General features: G+C 44.4%; 2 long non-coding RNA genes across 2 annotated transcripts in view, besides 2 other annotated features; both read left to right on the top strand.

Moving 5' to 3' along the window:
* Window positions 1–21,326, top strand: part of LINC02885 (long intergenic non-protein coding RNA 2885) — a 241,252-nt gene that overhangs the window by 29,885 nt on the left and 190,041 nt on the right. The window lies entirely within an intron of this gene.
* Window positions 15,250–20,946, top strand: LOC105373015 (uncharacterized). The gene is made up of 3 exons (XR_938205.1): window positions 15,250–15,341; window positions 20,381–20,470; window positions 20,909–20,946. It is a non-coding gene; the product is annotated as an uncharacterized LOC105373015 (long non-coding RNA).
* Window positions 17,187–17,686: an enhancer, noted in NCBI's record as "H3K27ac hESC enhancer chr22:35346335-35346834 (GRCh37/hg19 assembly coordinates)". NCBI's record gives its function as "activates a minimal SCP1, AML or CMV promoter by ChIP-STARR-seq in naive H9 embryonic stem cells {active_cell/tissue: H9 hESC(naive)}" and the evidence as "EXISTENCE:reporter gene assay evidence [ECO:0000049][PMID:30033119]".
* Window positions 17,687–18,188: an enhancer, noted in NCBI's record as "H3K27ac hESC enhancer chr22:35345833-35346334 (GRCh37/hg19 assembly coordinates)". NCBI's record gives its function as "activates a minimal SCP1, AML or CMV promoter by ChIP-STARR-seq in naive H9 embryonic stem cells {active_cell/tissue: H9 hESC(naive)}" and the evidence as "EXISTENCE:reporter gene assay evidence [ECO:0000049][PMID:30033119]".

Genomic DNA, 21,326 nt, shown 5'->3' with positions numbered 1-21,326 from the left:
TTTATTTCTGAGATGCCATTTATATAACAATACGTTGTTATTCTAGGTTGATTTTTTTGAACTTCGGCAACTGAAGGCCTCAATGGAGGCTGGCTTAACTGTAAACACTGTGCTGCAGCTTACAGAGGGCTGGAAAGAGAATGGAAGGGGAACAAGGGGTTAGAGAAGGAAAACCTTAAGGCTAGGACTCCACTGAAGCCAAAAAAGAAAGAAAGAGACAAAAATAAAACAAAGGGAAGAGAAAAAATGAGTCCACGAAGAACAGTGAGGCTGAGACCACGAAGAGCAGGAAGTAAGGGTAAGTGTTGAGACCGATTTGGGGGAGGAGAAACCAACTCCAAGCCTCCGAGAGTAGCAGGAGTCCAACAGTGGGTGTGGATGGGGCCTCTGGAGGGAGTCAGCTGTGTAACTGTAGGCTTCCGTAATCTCACCAAGCTTTAGCTTTCTCATCTGCAAAAAAGGCATCATATCATATATTAGTTATCTATGACTGCATAACAAATGGCTCCAAAACTTAGCAGTTTGAAAAAGCAAGCATTTACTGTTTTATAGTTTCGAAGGACTAGGGATCTGGACATGGCTTAGCTGATTCTCTGGCTCAGGGTCCCTCACGAGGCTGTAATTAAGGTGTCAGCTGATGTTGGAGCCATCTCAAGACTGGGAGAGGAGCCACTTACTGGCTCAATGAAGTGGTTGTTGGTGGGATTCAGTTCCTTCTGGCTTGTTGGACTGAAGCCTCAGTTTCCCTCTGGCTGTTGGTTTGAGGCATACTTTGATTTCTTCCCATGTGGGCCTCTCCCTAGGGGGAGCTCACAACAGGGCAGCTGCTTCCATCAGACTGAGCTATTTCATTCGTTAGAGGTGAGTCACTAACTCTGGTCCACACTCCAGGGGAGGAGATTACCTAAGGGTATGAATTCCAGAAAGCAGGGGTCACTGGGAGCCATTGTAGAAGCTGCCTACCGTACACAACCTCCCAAGACTTTTGTGAGGATTAAGTGAGAGGATTCAGGGAAAATCTTTAGCACATTGCCTGGCACATAATAATTTTCAGAATCAGTTCTTCTTATTGCTATTATTATGAGGGTTTGATCAATGTCCATTGCTAATACTCTTCTGTAGATGATAACAAAGAAGGAATGCGTATGAGTAAACAAAAAGGGGACGGTGTATCAGTTATCTATTTCCACAATAATGCTGCATAACACACAATCCCCAAACCACTGTGCCATTCTATAAGAACACTTATTTTTGCTTACGGGTCTGTGGATTGACTGAGAGGTTCTGCTAATGTGAGCTGACTTGTCTCTGCTCCCTGTGGTCTCTCACCCTCCAGCAGGCTAGTCTGGCCTTGTCCTCAGGGAACCTTTTTCAAACAGGGTTTCAAGACAGCAAGTGGAAGTCCATAGGCTTCTTGAAGTGTAGGCTAAAAACTGGCGCGCCATCACTTCAGCCACTTCTATTGACTAACGCACATCACAAGACCAGCCCAGACTCAGCGGGTGGAGAAATGGATTCATCTTCTTAGTAGAAGGAACTGCAAAGTCATATCAAGGGGCATAGATCTATGGAGAAGAAGAATTAGGGTTTTTTTATTTTTTGCAATCAATTTACCATAAACTGAAAAATAAAGAGATGTGGAATTTAAATGCTATGTTTTCTAAAACATTTGGGTAATTCTGAGGGAAAAATCAGAACAGATATTGAGTACCATTAGTGAGTTTTGGATTTTTTTTTTCTTTTTTTTTTTGAGATGGAGTTTCACCCTTGTTGCCCAGGCTGGAGCACAGTGGTGTGATCTCGGCTCGCTGCAACCTCCACCTCCCAAGTTCAAGCGATTCTCCTGCCTCAGCCTCCTGAGTAGATGGGATTACAGGCACCTGCCAGCATGCCCAGCTAATTTTTTGCATTTTTAGTAGAGATAAGGTTTCACCATGTTGGTCAGGCTGGTCTTGAACTCCTGACCCCAGGTGATCCACCCGCCTTGGCCTACCAAAGTGCTGGGATCACAGGTGTGAGCCACTGCACCTGGCCTGGACCTTTTACCAAGTTGTTCTGACACTGTGTAAATATAATACTAACAATGAAATTATAAGAACATTTTAAAATTCACTCATTCATTCATTTGTGCATTCATTCACTCATCAAACATCTAGAGCATGGGTTGGCAAACTTTTTCTGTGAAGGGTAAGATAGTAAATATTTTAGGGTTTGGGGCCATACATTCTCTGTTGTAACTACTTAATTCTGCCATTGGAAAGCAGCCTATCATTGCTATGTAAATGAATGGGCATGGCTGTGTTCCAGTAAAAGTGTATTTATGGACACTACAATTTGAATTTCATATAACATTCATGTGGTGTGAAATATTATTTAAAATTTTCAATTATTTAAAATGGTAAAAACTATTCTTAGGGCCAGGCATGGTGGCTCATGCCAGTAATCCCAGCACTTTGGGAGGCTGAGGCAGGGAAGGATCACTTGAGCCCGGGAGGTCGAGGCTGCAGTGAGCCATGATTGTGCCATGGCACTCTAGCCTGGGTAACAGGGTAGAACCCTGTCTCAAAACAAACAACCAAAAACAATTCCAAGCTTCTGGGTCATAAAACTCAGGCAACAAGCCTGATTTGGTCTGTGGGCCACAATGATGGTCTAGGATACCTGTGGAGTATCTATCTCTCTGTAACTGACAGCTGTCTTTTCAGAGCCCTCTTGCATATGCAATCTCCTTTTACCCTCATTATAAACCTGTATCTCTGATACAACAGAAAGAACAGCAACCAGGGGCTTAATTCTACTGCCTCGGGAAGTACATAAGGTGGTGGTAGGCCTGTTGAAACATCACCACGTCTGTACGTAGCAGGATAAGCTCAGAATTTGCAGGACCCAGTGCAAAATGAAAAATATTGGTTTCCTTGTTCAAAAATTGAAGCTTCAAAACAACAACAGCAGATAATTAAACCAAGCAACCAAGCGTGGGCCCTGTGTTACAGTACAGGTCATATGCCCACGCGGTGGCTTCCTGTTGGCTTTGAGCTTGCCTTCTAGTATGTTTTAAAAAACTGGCTAATAAATTCTACCCCCCTAGAGTTATTTTAGGGATTAAGTGAGCTAATGAATGCTAACTTTTCTAGCATGTTTCTTGATATGTAATAGGTCAATAAGAAAAGTTCCATGACACTTTCTGGCACTAGACTTTGCCTCCCTTCTACCACTGGTGTTTTTATGCCATTGGTGTCAACATGGCGGCAGGAGGTTTGGGTAAAGCAACAGCTCAAGGAGGATTTGCACTTCCATTTTTAGTGAGTTTTCTGAAGGCTAAGACATCTGTTTGGATAGCCATTACAAAATGAAACATTAGGGATTTGGGCTCAATTCAGCATAATTTGAAAGAGTGCACCTGGTCTTTCATTTATAATATTTCTGTCTTTTTTGTTGCTTTTATGATTTATATCTTACAAATCTCTCTGTTTTTTCTTCCTCTCCTTCTGTTGCAGTTTGATCAGATTATGGAAGGGCAATACAGACATGTGTTTCTTTAAAGCCATCCCCCTCCCCCAGGCCAGAACAGGTGTTGTAGAAATTCCTGGGTGACTGTTTTTCAAACAAAATTGAACACTGCACACAGAATGGCATGCAAGAGATTCCTTTCTGCCAATGTCTTCCATCAAAGGCATTGTTGTAGGAACCGTTTCCTAATATCTGAGTAAAGGTGGATAGAATCTCTTTAGAGATATATTTCATTGAAATTGATGGGTCTATTTCAAATATTTGCTAAGTAACTTCTAGTTAGTTCTAAAAGAGGTAAGTGTGAGAACTTTTGAGTTGCTGAGAATGGGTTTTCCAGATAAATCCCGGCAGGTCAGTGTTGGAGAATGCTTCCTCCTTAATTTGTACATGACCTGCATGCATGTGCTTGACAATGCAATCTTTTTATAGGTGACATGTGTCAATCCATTCCATGAAAAGGCAGAGACGGTCACTTCCAAAGTGCTCCCTATTGTAGCTCTTAAACTCAAAAACAAATCAGTATCATTTCTTGGACATTTACTGTGTGCCCAGTTCTTTACATGCATGGTCTAATTTACATAATTACCTGATTTAACTCTCTCATGTGACCTGTGATCAAAATATTACTATTATTCCTTTTGACAGATGAGGAAATATGAGGAAGAGGTAATTTGGCTAAGATATGGTGAACTGGGATGAGAATGTAGGTTAGCCAGATTTATTAATTTTTGTTCATTGAAATGAAAGTCACATAACAAAAATTAGCCATTTTGAGGTGAACAAGTCGGTGACCTTAAATGTGTTCACAGTATTGCACAACCACTACCTCTATCTAGGCTCACACATGTTCATCTTCCCAAAAGGGAACCTCATGCCCATTAAGCAGTCACTATGTTTACCCCTCACTCCAGACCCTGGTATCCACCAATCTGTGTTCTATTTGTATGGATTTAGAAAATGAAGGCACAGAGGGACCCAGAAAGTCATCCAAGTCACACTATTGGAGGTCCCCTTGTTCACCTCCTTAGTCCCTGTCCCCTCCCAACCTCCAAAAAGTTAACCCCATTCTGATGCCAGTTTCAACCATAACATGATGCAAACAGCTAATGTCTATTTAGTGCTGATGTATGCTGGGCACTGTTCAGGAACTTTGCATGCATTAATTCCTTTCATCCTTTCTACCTTATGCAGAAGATACTGCGGTTACCTCTGTTTTACAGATGAAAACATGGAGGCACAGAGAGGTCCAGAAAGTCATCCAAGGTCATAAGGCCACCAAGGGCCAGACCCTGGATTGGAAACCTGGCATTCTGCCACCAGACTCCCTCTCTGAACCACTAGGATGCACTGCCTCTGTGTGGTCTCATCCCTCACACAAGGGGTCATAGCACTACCAGCAAATCTGCAGCCATGCACTGTAGCCCATATAGCAAATCTGCAGCCCACGCACTGTAGCCCATACCCACAGCACAATTCAGAACCACAGCACAATTTAGAACAACAGCTTTCGGAGGTACCCAGGGCAGCCACCCCCTTCCCTGACTTTACCGTGAATCCCAACTCCAGCTGGAAATCAATATGCTAAGAGCCATAATGGAGGAACATACAAAGGCCCGTGGAGGCCCAGAGACGGGAGGGATTAGTTCTGCCTGGGGAGCCCAGAAAAGCATCTGGTTCTTTCATTTCTGTATTCCTTTACACGAGAATAAAATCCAAAACTACGTTCACATTATTGGGAAAGAGCAACAATCTTATAAAATCAGGATGAATTTTAGTGGTGGGCAAGATCCACACACATAGCCTTGGTCATGCCACCAGTTATCTGAGTGACCCTCGGCTGGTTGCTTTACTTTTCTAAGCCTTTGTTTCCTCATCTTTAAAATCAGAAGATTCTGACTTGCAGACATATAAAGTCCCTGGCATGTTGTAAGGCTGAATAAATATTCTTAATAAATGTTTTGATGTGTCAACCAAGACCCGTTTTTAGGAAGAGAGATGATAAACTTCATGTTAAGGTATAAATAACAACAACAATAAGAGCAACATTTATTGAGCTCTGATGATGTGCCAGACACTATTTTAAGTACTTTACATCTATATGGAAATGACTGGGAATATATTGCTTTTTTAACCAAAAAAAAAAATATGTTTTTAAAAACTATGTTAACAATAACCCCAAACAACTGAGTTCCATTTCACAAACTGATGTTCTGTAGGGAAACCCAGTCCTGTGATTTGGTCTGGGAAACATGTAATGAAAATCGGAAGGTTCCAGGTTCATCTAGGTTAGGGAAACTCAGCACACGCTATCCTTGTGGTTCCCAAGCTTTGCTGCATATTGAGATCACCAGGCCATGGTTGGTGTAGACCCGTGCTTGGCCCAGCTCCAGGCATTCTGGTTGATGTAACTTGGGTGCCACCTGGGCATCGGGATGTTGTAAAGATCCCGGGTGGGTCCAGTGTGCAGCCAGTGGGAACTACCTCTCCAGCTCCCTCTTGAAACTTCACTGGACCTAGTGGCACATTTTGAACTTTGAAGAGTTTATCTATTTTTAAAATTTGCATTTCCCAACTATTAGGTTGGTGCAAAAGTAATTGCATTTTTTCCCTTTTTTTTTTTCTTTGAGATGGAGTCTTGGTCTTGCTCTGTTGCCCAGTTTGGGGTGCAGTGGCGCGATGATGGCTCACTGCATCCTCCGCCTCCTGGGTTTAAGCAATTCTGCTGCCTCGGCCTCCTGAGTAGCTGTGACTATAGGCATGCACCACCACCCCTGGCTAATTTTTGTATTTTTAATAGGGCTAGGGTTTCACCATATTGGCCAGGATGGTCTTGAACTCCTGATCTTCGTGATCCGCCTGCCTCAGTCTCCCAAAGTGCTGGGATTACAGGTGTGAGCCACTGCGCCCGGCCTTCCCATTACTTTTAAGTGGCAAAAATCGCAATTACTTTTGCACCAATCTGTATATTTTTGTTTGAGCTCAACCAACCACCTTTTGGAAATCCCTCTCTCTTTCTGTTCTTGTTTTTCTTTTTCTGCTAAACATTATGAAATATTTAAAACATACATGATGCCCCCCGTCTCTTGCCCCATTACCTTGGGAGCTCATCTCCTATCTCTCTTCCTATGCTCTTTGAGCCCACCAGGCACTCGCCCTGGGCCTCAGCACCTGCTCTTCCTCTGCCTGGAGGGTCCCTCCCTGCTCATGTCCGTGGCTCCCTCTCTTATCCCTGCAGTTTTGATCCTCGTGTCTCCTTTGTATCAAAATCTTTCCTGGCTTCCCAATTTAAACCTTCTGTCCACTTTTCCCAACACCTCTATTCCATATTGACCTTCTTTGTCCTATTTTTCTCCATAGATCTTATCATCATCTGACAATTTAATAATTTTACTCATTTGTTTCTTGTCTGCACGTCTCTACTGTCTGTGCCACAAGGGCAGGGATTTTGTCATATTCACAACTGTGTCCCCAGCACCTAGAACAGTAACTGGCACAAAGCAGTTACTCAGTAAATATTTGTTGAGTGAATGAGTGAATGAATGAATAAATGAATTGGAAACAAATTATAAGCCCTTGTCTATCCACCATCCAGTGTCATGAGTATTTGTATTTTGCCTTATTTCCGTAGGTCCTTTCTTTTCTAAAAAAATAAAATGTGACAAATACTATTGGAGGCCCCCTTTTTCACCTCCCCAGTCCCTGTCCCCTTCCAAGTCCCCAAGAGATAACCCTATTCTAACGCTGATGAGTAATCTTCCAGCCCAATTTTGTACTTTTATATATGTGTCTAGGATTCTTTTAGGGTTTTAAAATTTTACATAAACTGCAAACTTTACCTAACTTTCTGCAATTTGCTTTTTATATCAACATTATATTTTATTCATGATGATACATACAAATTTAATTCACTCATTTTAAGATTGGTATAGAATTCCATTGTATGAATATTTTATAATTTATTATTTCCCCTCTAAATGGATATGTAGGTTGTTTCCAATTTTTTGCTATTACAAACAGAGCCACAGTGAACGCCTTGGGGCATGTCTTCTGTACACATGTGCAAGAAGACTTTTTCTTTTTAGATCTGGGATGTGAAATTGCTGGGTCTCAGGGTGGGTCTTCCCATTTGCTAGGTGTTACTAAATTTCTCATCAAAGTGGCTGTACCAATTGATGTTCCCTCCTGCAACGATTTCTGCCTATCTGGTGACTTGTGGGTTGATATCTTATTACTGCTTATTGTTTATCTTTCCCTGGCTCCTTGTGAGGCTGAGCTCCTTGTCACACGTTTATTGGCCATTCGAGTGAACTCATCTGTGAATTGTCTTTTGACCGCCTTCATCCATCATTGTTCTGAGCTGTTTGTCTTTTTGTTACTGACTTGTAGAAATTCTTTATATATTCCCGACACTAATCTTTTGTTGGCTATGTGCTTTGCAGACATCTCCCATTCTGTGGCCTTTTAACTTTGTTGATATTGGCTTTGCTATGCAGACAGTATATAGTTAATGTCAGAGCATTTTCCATTACACAAAATGAAAGGAATGAATGCTGGAATTTCAGGTAACACGTTAACAGGGTAGGGAGGAAGGAGGATGCAGTTTCTGGGGCTGGGAGCTTCACTGTAGTCTTCATCATGTCACTAGCAATTCCACTACAATCTCCAGCCCTAGAAAAGCGACTTGATTCCAAACCCTAATGTTGGTTAGTGAGAACAGAGCTGCTTCCTGCAGTGGGTCCAGTTTGCTTCTCTGTCTGGAAGAGATCCTGTGGTACTGTACTCCACAATGGGCCAGCAATCCCAGCTGTCATCTCTGCTGCAAAACCTTAGCTGATTTGCAGAAATGCGCCATTTTTCCTTTCTGATATATGTCGCCATGATAATGGGAGACAGTGGGAGGGAAGGATGAAAACAAAACTGTCCTAGGGTTGCAGGACTCAGAACAGGGATCCAGAGGTTTAGACAGGAAAGCCAACAGAAGGGTTCCATGGGAGACCTATGAGTACCCCACACCCACAGGTGATGGGAAGCCCTTTCAATGGCAGGCAGACACTGGTTCAGAAGCCTCCTTTAGAACCTGTTACCATGACGGTTTGGGGTGCCATATCTTATCAGTTACCTTCTGTTGTGTAACAGGTTACCCCAAAACTTAGTGACTTAAAACAATAGCCATTTATGTAGCTCACGACTCTGTGAGTTGGCATTTGGGCTGGGCTCCACTGGATGTTTATTCTCTGTTGGTCCTGGCTGGTCTCACACACGTCTCTGTGGCCAGCTGCTGGTCATCTAGGAAGCTCTGTTCCTGGGGGCTGCCTGTCTGTTGGCTGGAGTAATAGAGGAGGCTGGGCCACTGTCTCTGTTCATCTAGCAGGCTAGCCTGGTACGTCTCATACTCTGTGTCTAGTTTGCCAAAGCTGCAAAAGCAGAAGCTGCAAAGCTGACTGAGACCTAGGCTCAGGACTCAGACAGTGCTACGGCTGCCATATTCACTTGGCCAAGGCAAGTCACAAGACCTTACAAGATTCAACAGGTGGGCAGCAGGCTTCTTGATGGGAGAAGCTGGAAAGCACTGTGGCCATTTTTTCAATCTATCATAGTTAGAGAATTCTAAGATGCAAACCTCCGTTCAAGGTTGTTGCCAGACCTTATGATTGACCAAATTCACTCACAGGTTTAATTGTCATCTCCAAAAATGTATATAACAGAGACAAAATTGTTAATGTATGCAGAGTCGTGCCCACTTTCTCTCTGCACATGAAGGAAACCTCCAGCTTTGTCTGATGGAGGTGATTTTCCTGCCCTGCCCAAGACACACACACACACACACACACACACACACACACACACACACACACACACACACACACACGGAGTCATCTGGAAAAAAACGGAGGTGCTAGTCTGGGTAGATTCGGTTTGTAAAGGAGAAAGGAAAAGAAAATTAGTGTGGAAAAGGGTAGAAAAATGAGAGCCCCTGCTGTGATTTCAGGAGGAATCTCGAGGTAGAGCAGTGAGAGAAGGAAAGAGGCTTTGGGGCAGCTGCTGAGGATGAGAGAATTGGAGACTGGGAGGAATGGGAAATAAGAACTATAAAGAGTGTGGCTATGTATTAGGATTTGGGTCTTCTGCAATGTATTTTGGAAGATTCAGATACAGATTGGAAATACTTCTGATGCAGGACTCATTAAAAGACCATACCAGGCCAGGTGCGGTGGCTCACATCTGTAATCCCAGCACTTTGGGAGGCTGAGGTGGGCGGATCATGAGGTCAGGAGATTGAGACCATCCTGGCTAACATGGTGAAACCCCATCTCTACTAAAAATACAAAAAAATTAGCTGGGCGTGGTGGCGGGCACCTGTAGTCCCAGCTACTCGGGAGGCTGAGGCAGGAGAATGGTGTGAACCCGGGAGGCGGAGCTTGCTGTGAGCCGAGATTGTGCCACTGCACTTCAGCCTGGGCGACAGAGTGAGACTCTGTCTCAAAAACACAAAAAACAAATAAACAAAAAGACCATTCCAAGGCTGGACTGTGTGACCTCTGGCACTTAATTGAGGTTATGTCATATGTCCCTTTGCTGGGACATGCATGCTGCATTTCTTCTCTTCCAGGCCATGCATAGGCACATGCCCCTGCAATGGAAGAGCTTCCTATTGCTCAGCCCTCACCCTCAGCTAGGCTATTCTCTCCCCTGGAACTGGGGTCTTTTTTGTGTCTGCCATGGTCTTATTCAGCGGGAAGTCTGCAAGTTGCCTCATGCTATTGTCTAGAGGTTTGTGTTCTCCTCAAATTCGTGTATCAAAATTCTAACCCTCAAGGTGATGGTATTAGGACGTAGTGTCTTTGGGAGGTGACTGAGTCATGAAGGCTGTCAGATTAGTGCTGTTACAAAAGAGACCCCAGAGAGCTACCTCACTCCTTCTGCCATGTGAGGTTACAGTGAGAAAGTGCCGTCTACAGGGAATGGACCTTCACCAGACATGAAATGTTCCACTGTCTTCACCTTGGACTCCCCAGGCTCTAGAATTGTGAAAAATATATTTCTGTTGTTTATAAGCCACCTATTTTAAGGTATTTTTGTTATAGCAGCACAGATGGACTAAGACACGTCAAGATTGACTTTCTTTTTATGAAGATGGTGTCTGGCATGTTCATGGAAAAGACAATATCCCATGGCAGAGATCGCCAGCATTAAGGCCATTCATGGTGGTACGTTGTCAAAAAGTTTTCCTGTCCAATTGCTCAATTGCGTTTGTTGGGCGTGTGGAGGAAGGACCTATAATATGCTGTAATTTTGGATGTATTATTTTCAAGATTTGAATAAAATCTCTGAAAGTAGGTGTTAATACTCCTCTCTCATGATGAGGAAACTGAGAATCAGAGAGATTATTTGCTGCAAATTATATGGCCTGCGATTACTAGAGCTGGTATTAAAACCCAAGTCAGCTTGGGTTTCAAAGCCCCTGAAATGGACTTTTAGGGGACTTTTGGTGGCACAGTATCTGTGCACACTTTCCTTATACTTGGGAATTCCCCACCACGGAAGTTCATGCATCCTAAGACATGGTACATTGACTTGCTTTCCTTGCAACCATAGTCCTGGCATATGACCTTGATCATGACAACACGGAAAGCAAGTGCAGTTAGAAAGTCCAGGTCTGTGCAAAACCTGGACTTTCTTTTTAATTTTTGAGATGGAGTCTCACTCTGTTGCCCAGGCTGGAGTGCAGTGGTGCGATCTCAGCTCACTGCAAGCTCCGCCTCCCGGGTTCACGCCACTCTCCTGCCTCAGCCTCCCGAGTAGCTCGGACTACAGGTGCCCGCCACCACGCCCGGCTAAATTTTTGTATTTTTTAGTAGAGACGGGGTTTCACAGTGTTAGCCAGGATGGTCTCGATCTCCTGACCTGGTGATCCGCCCACCTTGGCCTCCCAAAGTGCTGGGATTATAGGCGTGAGCCACCGCGCCCGGCCAAAACCTGGACTTTCAAGGGAGTGGAGTGAAGTGAAGGAACAGGAGCCATGCAGAATCCACTCAGTGACGGTGATGGCAGGCGTGTCCTGCTTGGCTGAGGCTCCAGCCAAGCTGAGCTGTGTGGGGTTAGTGCCCTTGTGACATTGTGGAGCTTTTACTGAGGCAGGTCCTGGCTGCACAGCCTCTGAGACTGATTCCTGACCCACTTGGAGATCTGTGAGTGCCCTGACATTCTCATAAATTCACTTTCTGCTAAACTAGCTAGAGTGGGCTCTGTTGTTTATAAATAGGAATCCCAACTGGAATGGCTTATTTTGTTGGTTTTTCTAATTTTCAGTTTTTTCATTGTGGTAAAATATATATAACAAAATTTACCATTTTAACCATTTTTAAGTGTATAATTCAGTGGCGTTAAGTACATTCACTCTCTTTCTCTTTTTTATTTTTATTTTTTATTTTACTTTAAGTTCTGGGATATGTGTGCAGAACGTGCAGGTTTGTGACATAGGTACACATGTGCCGTGGTAGTTTGCTGCACCTATCAACCCGTCATCTAGGTTTTAAGCCCCGCATGTATTAGGTATTTGTCCTAATGCTCTCCTTCCCCTTGGCCCCCATCCCCCCAACAGGCCTCTGTGTGTGTGTGATGTTCCCCTCCCTGTGTCCATGAGTGTTTTTTTTGTTTGTTTGTTTTTGAGACAGAGTCTCGCTCTGTTGCCCAGGCTGGAGTGGAGTGGTGTGATCTTGGCTCACTGCAAGCTCTGCCTCCTAGGTTTCACGCCATTCTCCTGCCTCAGCCTCCCGAGTAGCTGGGAACTACAGGCGCTCACCACCACGCCTGGCTAATTTTTTGCATTTTTAGTACAGACGGGATTTCACCATGTTAGCCAGGACGGTCTCGATCTCCTGACCTCGTGATCTGCCCACCTCGGCCTCCCAAAGTACTGGGATTACAGGCGTGAGCCACCGCGCCTGGCCTTTTTTTTTTTTTTTTTTTTTTTTTTTTTTTTTAAATACAGTAAAGAGGATCCATTCTTGCTCCAAGCCAGGAAAAGTACCTGATTATTTCCTGTTAAAATGAAATGGACAGACTGGCACAGTGGCCTTTCTGGGTCATTCAAGAAATGATTCTGAAATGGTTTTCTTGTTGAGGGCGAGTGTCTGTGCCTCCACAGAACAGCTGGGCGCTCAGGCTTGCCCCAAAGTGGGACTTGAGTGAGTGTGGGCTCCACTCCTGGCCCCTCAGACAGGATGGACCCCAGCAGCCCACCCTGGGTTGCATTCCTAATGAACTTCACTGTTGTCCTGCTCCAACACCTCAGTACAAAGGGCACTGCCAGCACCAGGCCTGTGCAGATATTGAAGTACATTCTCAATGTTGTGCAACCACCACCTCTATGGTATGGCTTTTAACATACGTGTTTTATTAAGTTATCCCAACATCTCTTTAAGAATGAGGATTATTAACCTTGTTTTATAGATGAGAGGCCAGACCTCAAAGAGAGTAATTATGAGTAATTGACTTACTCAAGATGATACCACTGGTAATAAGAGTAGTAATAGTAGCCACCGTTTATTAAGTACGTACTACATGTATGTTACATGTAATCCTTTAGAAAGTCCTGCAAAATGGGCAATACTGTGGCTCCTATTTTACAATGAAGAAACAGGCTCAGCGAGCTTAAAGAGCTCAGAAATCATGTGGCCAGTTAGCAGATTTGGATTTTAACCCATGTGTGTCTGACTGTAAAGCCCTTGTTTACCTACCAGCCCATCCTATCTACTGAGGATTGGAGCCCAAGTCTTCTGATTTCTGTCTAATGCTTGTCCCTCATGTCATAAAGTTGGTCATGCCTTTAATCCCAGCACTTTGGGAGACTGAGGTGGGCAGATCACTTGAGGTCAGGAGTTCGAGACCAGCCTGGCCAACATGATGAAACCCCGTCTCTACTAAAAATACAAAAATTAGCCTGGCGTGGTGGCACACGCCTTTAATCCCAGCTACTTGGGAGGCTGTGGCAGGAGAATCACTTGAACCCAGAAGGCAGAGGTTGCAATGAGCTGAGATTATGCCACTGCACTCCAGCCTGGGTGACAGAGCAAGGCTCTGTCTCCAAAAAAAAAAAAAAAAAAAAAAAAAAATCGGGGGTAGTGTCTACTGCCGATGCTCTCATGATCGGGCTTTCTTTCTTCTTGTGCAAACCTGGGTTAGAATGTGAAGCTGGAAAATTAAATATTGGCAGGCTGGAGTTGAAGGCCTGTTCCCTGTGCCCTGGTTGCTGCGGTGCCTGGGACATAATTAGGGGCTCAAAGGGAGTTTGTTGAACAAAACTGAGCTCTGTTGAATCCGAGATAGAGGAATCTCTCCCAGTCCCCTGTTGGGCCAATTGCAGTACCAAAATTTGCCTGTGGATTCCAATGGCTAGCACATAGGGTAAAATAAAGGGTGGAGCACTGATTAATGAACCACTGAAGAAAGTAGAAAACAAGAGTAACAAGACACTGGATTTGAGTGTTGTAACAAGAGTTGCAAAATGTCAGCAACACTTTGATGAGTTTTATAAGTTGATCTCGAATTATATGCTAGGGGCCACACTCAGTACTGTACATGAATCATTTCCAGTCCTCACTACCGCCTAATGAGATAAAAATCCTTGGCACTGTTGGAAGAGCAAATCCTAATGCTTAAGTGCAGGCATTCTGGTCAAAGAAGAAGTCAAATTCCAGTGCAGTGTGTGAATGTTGGGGATGTTACTCAGCTTCTCTGTCTGTTTCTTCTACTGTAAAATGGGCATAACAACTGTACCTCTACCATATGGTTTTTGTGAAGTTTAAATGCATTCATGCCTTTCGAATGCTTAGGACAGCACCTGGCACAAAGAAAAGCTCAGTAGATGTTGTCTATTATTGTTCTTACTTGATAGACAAGGACACTGAGCACCAGGAAGGTTTAAGAACACGAATAAAGTCACCAAAGTAAAAAAGGTGAAGTTAAATTATGAACACAGGTTTGATCTCAAAGCTCCTGCTCTTTCCAGTCTATTAACAGGTACTTACTGAGCATCAGTTATGTGCTCCCATCTAAAAAGACAGGAAAGAAAGAGACAGACAGAATTCCAGTTCCTCAAAGAAGCAAATATTTTTGCGGAGGGAGAGAGATAATCAACATATATCCAAGTGATAAGCACTCTGGTGCCTTGAGAGGGATGAAGAAGGAGAGGGCATCATATAAAGAGAGGGACTGAGGTGGGTAGTGGTGGGGGAGGGAGACCTCTTTGAAGAGTAATGTTGGATAAAGGCCTGGGGTGGGGAAGGAGGAGGCAGCTGACTTCAAGGTCTGGGAAGAGTGTTCCTGATACAGTTTGTATATTTGTCCCTGCTCAAATCTCATGTTGAATTGTAATCCCCAGCATTGGAGGTGGGGCCTGGTGGGAGGTGATTGGATCATGGGGATGAATTTCTCATGAATGGTTTAACCTCATCCCCTTGGTGCTGTCCTCATGATAGTGAGGCCTTGTGAGATCTGATTGTTTAAAAGGGTGTGGTATCTCCCCCCACCCATGCTCTTGCTCCTGCTCTGGCCATGTGATGTGCCTGCTCCCCCTTCACATTCCACCATGATTGGAAGCTTCCTAAACCTCCATAGAAGCTGAGCAGATGCCAGTACAATGCTTTCTGTATAGCCTGCAGAACCATGAGCCATTTAAATCTCTTTTCTTTATAAGTTACCCAGTCTCATGTATTTCTTTATAGCAAAGGAAGAACAGGCTAACACAGTTCCCAACAGGAGGATCAAGTGCCAAGGCCCTGGTGACTTTGAGGAAGAGAAAGAGGCCAGTGCGATTGGAGAGCAGTGAGGTAGGAGGGTTTGGTGACGTCTTAGCCATTCATACCTTCTGAGATTGGACTCTTGCCTGAAAAAGCAGGGAACATTATTCCAGTGTCTGCTTGGGGGGACTGTATTAGTTTGCTAGGGGTGCTGTAACAAAGTACCACAAACCAGGTGGCCTCAAGCCACAGAAATTTCTTCTCAAACACTTCTGGAGGCTGGGGTCAGAAATCAAGGGGTCAGCAATCAAGGGGTCAGCAGGGCTGTGCTCTCTCTAAAGGTCTATGAGGAGAAGCTGCTCCACGTCTTTCTCCTCACTTCTGGTGTTGCTGGCAATCCTTGGCATCCCTTGGTTTACAGACCCAGCACTCCAATCTCTGCCTTTGTCATCTCTTCTCCAGGCCACCAGTCATACTGGATTTAGGGTCTACCCTACTCTAGTGTGACTTGTCATAAGTTGATTACAGCTATAAAGATTCTATTTCCAAATAAGAGTTCAACATCTGGGTCTGAGTTTCTCCTCTGCCTTTAACGATGGGTAGGTGTTCAGGGAAGTAGCTGAGTCTGGGTGAGCTTCCTTTCCCATCTCTAAAAAGGGCAGCTTATAATTATTAAAGCACCACCGTCTAAGTAACTCCCAAGAGCTCCCAAAAGAGAGAACACAGGAACAGCACCCCTGGAGGTGATCCGTGGGGGGTAGCGGGGAATACACCGCTACAGGAGGTTAGAACTTCAAAATCTCTTTCTGGGGGACATAATTCAACATGTAACAAGGACCAAAAAGTAGTAATATCGGTGAAAGCAACATTTCAACTGCATAGTGTGGTGCAACAGACCAGAGCTGTTATTCTGTTGGGGAGGAAGTCCAGGAAGGAAGATGCTGAGGGACAGGAGAGACCCGTCTTCTCACCATGATTCCACCAGACGGTGCTTGTGTGACCTCCAACAATTTTACAACTTCTTTGACCTCATCTTCCTTATTTTCCAAAGTAGTCATTCAGGCTGGATGATGTACTTTTGAATTCCCATGGTTTCAAGAACATTCCCCTTTACTGACCATAATTTACAATTATTCCACTGGCTAAGCAGGAGGTGGTACGTCAATGCCGTTCTTATTACACCTGAAGTTCAGCTTGTGAATATCGGCAAGAATCCAGACAAACATCATAATAAATAATGATAATTGTGATTATTGATTAAGTCACAGGCACTTTACTTTGTGATTTGCCACTATTAATTCAGTCTTCCTACAACCTGCTGAGGGATGTATTCCCCACCACCCCACGGATCACCTCCAGGGACGCTGTTCCTGTGTTCTTTGTTCTAGGGGCTCTCTGGAGTTACTTACATGGTTGTCCTTTAAGCATGATAAGCTGCCACTTTTAGAGATGGGAAAGGAAGCTCAGTGAGACTCAGCTACTTCCCTGAATGCTTACCCATCATTAAAGGCAGAGGAGGAACTCAGACCCAGATGCTGAATTCCAAAGCCTGAGCCTTTTCCAGGGTACCAAGCTGATATCTGCAGCTCAGAGGCAACTTTTTCATGGGAGGGAACGTGGGACTGGGGCTAGGGAGGGCTGGGTTAGTATCCCCGCTCTGTGACTTTGAAAGGTTCACTGAACCCCTCTGTGCCTCAGTTTTCCCGTTAGTATAATGAGGTCATACTCATTCCTAACCCATAAGCTTAAATTAAATGAGGGTTATATGTGGTGCTCCTGAAACTGTGCATGGCTGGTTAGGCACAAATGGAAAACGTCTTTCTCCATGGAGGAAAGTCACTGAGCACCTTTTCAGGGAACCTGCTCGCTGGGCAGATGGAGGAGCTGGTGATCAACACAGCCTTTTGAAGGGGTCGTCTTTTCCAACAGAACATGACACAGCCACAGGGAAAGTTGTTTTAGTTCCACTTAGTTTGATTTATTATTGATAATTCTGGAGATAAATTAGAATCATTAAAATAAGAGGCTGCAGTCTGCAGGCTGTTTTGAATTCCAGGGCTGTCTGCTTCGCATTTCCTGGGAACTGAGTGAGTACATTTGCATGTTTAGAGGGGGAGGGCCCTCAGAGAGCAGGAGGCAGAAAGTCCTGTCTGGAAAGTCTGGGCAATGAGAGAGGAAGCGCAGCTTGGAACTGTGTATTAGCCGCTGGGCCTGCCATAACAAGACACTATAGACTGGGTGGCTTAAATAACAGAAATTAATTTTCTCTTAATTCTTGGAGGCAAGAAGGTCTAAGATTAAGGTGCCAGCTGATTTGTTTCCTGGCGAGGGCCCTCTTCCTAGTTTGTAGATGGCCGCTTTGGCCTCACATGGCTCTTCCTCAGAGCATGCAGAGAGAGGAGGATGAGTGAGCTCTCTGGTGTCTCTTCTTTTTATTTTTTGAGTCGAAGTCTCACTGTGTCGCCCAGGCTGGAGTGCAATGGTGTGATCTCGGCTCACTGCAACCTCCACCTCCCAGTTCCAGTCACTATCCTGCCTCAGCCTCCCGAGTAGCTGGGATTACAGGCAAATGCCATCATGCCCGGCTAATTTTTGTAGTTTTGTAGAGATGGGTTTTCACTATGTTGGTCAGGCTGGTCTTGAACTCCTGACCTTAGGTGATCCACCTGTCTTGGCCTCCCAAAGTGCTGGGATTACAGGCATGAGCCACTGTGCCTGGCCCAGGTGTCTCTTCTTATAAGGACACCAGTCCTATTGGATCCAAACCCCACTCTTATCACCTCATTCAACCTTAATTACCCCCTAAAAGCCCCATCTCCAAATACAGCCTCATTGGGGGTTAGGGCTGCAACATATGGATTTGGGGGAGGGGAGGACACAGTTCAGTCCATAGTGCACTGCTTTCCACTCCTCCAGGAGGCCTGCCATGATTGTTAGTACTGTAACAAGAACAGTTGCCAGCACCTTACTTTCTGTGTCCCTACAGAAGCATAATGAGGTTAGGAACCTCATTACTATTCCTTTCGAAGATGAGAAAACTGAGGCACACAAAAGGAAAGTCACTGACCTAAGGTCCTCACCTGGTGAGGGGCGGAGCCAGGTCAGGGACCTTGTGCCTGGGACACCTTGTAGTGCTCATTGTACCTCGTCAGTCTTTCTCCCAGGGTGGCAGAGTGGGAAAAGTACTGCTAGAAATAAAATTTAGATTCAGAGGGTACATGTGCAGATTTGCTACATGGATATATTGTGTGATGCTGAGGTTTGGGCTTGAATTGAACCCATCACCCAAATAGTGAGCATAGTAACCAGTAGGTAGTTTTTCAACCCTTGCCCGCTTCAGCCCTCCTCCATTTGGAGTCTGTAGTGTCTATTGTTCTTGTCTTTATATCCATGTGTACACAATATTTAGCTCCCACTTCTAAGTGAGAACATGTGGCATTTGGTTTTCTGTGTCTGCATTCATTCAATTAGGATAATGGCCTCAATCTGCATCCATGTTGCTGCAAAGGACATGAGCTCATTCTTTTTTATGGCTGTACAGTATTCCATGGTGTATATGTACCACATTTTCTTTATCTAGTCCACCATTGATGAGCACCTAGGTTGATTCCATGTCTTTGCTATTGTGAATAGAGCACCAATTTTTGAATCAACCTTGGACTAAATACTACCTCTATCACTTAGAAGTTGTGAGACCATCAGCAAATTATTTGCTGTCTATCAGAGCAGTTGCATCACTTGGAAGGGGATAACAGGACTGCACTCACATGGTGTTCTTGAGGTCAAATAAAATGAGGTATGACATGTGCTTAGTATGAGGCCTGGAACATGGGTGCTATTCAGTCAGTGCAATCATTTCCACTTTGGGTGCTGTGCATGTAAGATCTACAGGAGTTCAGGAGGCCTTTGAACTTGCCCATTGAACTTGCAGAGGTGTGGTCTCATCTCTTACCCAAGTATTCAGGACCTTCCCCCAACTCCAACCCTCTCCCCCGATCTTACAAAGTGATCCCAGGAGAAGATGTGACAAAAATCATTTATGTTAAAGTGTAAATGACGAAGAAGGATTTTTGAGGTCATCTTTGATGATTTTAGAAAGAAATTATGAATTATTTTTTTTTTGAGATGCAGTTTCACTGTTGTCACCCAGGCTGGAGTGTGGTGTCACGATATCGGCTCACTGCAACCTCCGCCTCCCGAGTTCAAGCAATTCTCCTGCTTCAGCCCCCCGAGTAACTGGGATTACAGGCATGCACCATCATGCCTGGCTAATTTTGTATTTTTAGTAGAGATGGAGTTTCACTATGTTGGCCAGGCTGTTCTTGAACTCCTGACCTCAAGAGATCCATCTGCTTCGGCCTCCCAAAGTGCTGGGATTACAGTGAGCCACATGTCCAGCCAGAAATTACAATTTTTAATCTTTGAGGATGATAGCCTCTGGCAAGGCCAAACTTGGATCTTAGTGGCCCCGTTGTTCAAACAATATTGCTCACACCCTCCTATGTGTTAGGCCTTGTGCTGGAGACTGGCGGGTCCATGTAGAAATGACTAAGATTTAGAACTGCCTCAGAAGGACTGATTCCCAAATCTGCCCCTTCCTCAGTTTCCTTTCTTATTAAAAGGCATCACTGCTCATCCAGTAGTTCATACTGAAACCCTCAGGGAGTCATCCTTGGTTCTTCTTTCACATCTGGTTCTACCCATCAGCAGGTCATTTCAGCTCCAAGTTTTATTCCCAATCCACCCACTCTGTACTCCCTCCAGAGCTGTTGCCCTAGTGCAAGCCAACATCATCTCTTACTGGGACTGCAATAATTCCCTGGCGAGTCTTTTGGATTCCACCCTTGCCTCTCTATGATCCATGCTCCACAGCACAGCCAGAACAACCTTGATGCAATGTCAGCCCTGCCACACTATGCCCCTGTTCAGAGTTTCAGTGGCTTCCCACGCAACCTAGAATGCAATCAAATTTCTCACCCTGGCATTGAGGAGTAGTGGTTAAGTAAGTCATGGGTTCTGGAGACAGACTGACTGAATTCAAATCCTAGCTCTGTCGCTCACCACGTTCTGTGATCTTTGGCAACTTATTTTACCTTTCTGTGCCTTTGTTTTCTCATCTGTAAAATCAGGTTAATGCTATTACTTACCTTGAAGGATGCTGTGATAGTAAATGGATTTATACATGGAACGTGCTTGAAATAATGCCTGACAGTTTGTAAGTAAGTACTTTGTGAGTGTTAATCTTTATTCTGATGATGCTATCTTGTAAGGCCCTATTTGACCCATGCCTTCTACTCTAATCTAACTTTCCTCTATTCCTTTCTTCCCTCACTGTGGCCCAGCTACACTTTCCTTCTTGCTTGACCTTGAGTATCTAAGCATGTTCCTGCCGCAGGCCTTCATGCTTGCTGTCCCCTTCACTGGGAATGCTGCATGAGGCTCCTTCCTTGATATTTGTGCAGTTGTCACCACTCAGGAGGTCTTCCCTGATGACACCCATGTCAATTTATTCTCTTGTTCTGCTTTCCTTTTCTTAATATTTCTTATCATTACTTGATAAATGTGTTTGTTTATTATGTTCTCCCTATTCTGGTTATCCATTGATGCATCATACACCACCCCCAAAACAACATTAATCTTTTTTTTTTTTTTTTTAGAGACAAGGTCTCACTCTGTTACCCAGGCTGGAGTCCGGTGGTATAATCATACCTCACTGCAGCCTCAAACTCCTGGGCTAAAGTGATCCTCCCACCTCAGCCTCCTGAATAGCTAGAACTACAGGTACGCACCATCACATCTGGTTAATATTTAGACTTTTTTGTAGAGATAAGATCACCCCATGTTGCCTAGGCTGGTCTCAAACTCCTGGCCTGAAGCAATTCTCTCACCTCAGCCTCCCAAAGTGCTGGGATTTCAGGTGTGAGTCACTGTGTCTGGCCACCATCAATCACGTTATTATCTCTTATGGTTTCTGTGGTCAGGAACCTGGGAAAGGCTCAGCTCAGCGGTCTTGGCTTGGTGAACCCTCATGTGGTTTCAGCGAAATGGTGTCTAGAGGAGCATCTCTGTCTGTCC

The sequence above is a fragment of the Homo sapiens genome, chromosome 22 (genome assembly GCF_000001405.40).
Source record: "Homo sapiens chromosome 22, GRCh38.p14 Primary Assembly".
NCBI lineage: Eukaryota > Metazoa > Chordata > Mammalia > Primates > Hominidae > Homo > Homo sapiens.
The sequence above is the reverse complement of the archived record's forward strand: the minus strand, read 5'-3'. Positions and strand labels throughout refer to the sequence as shown.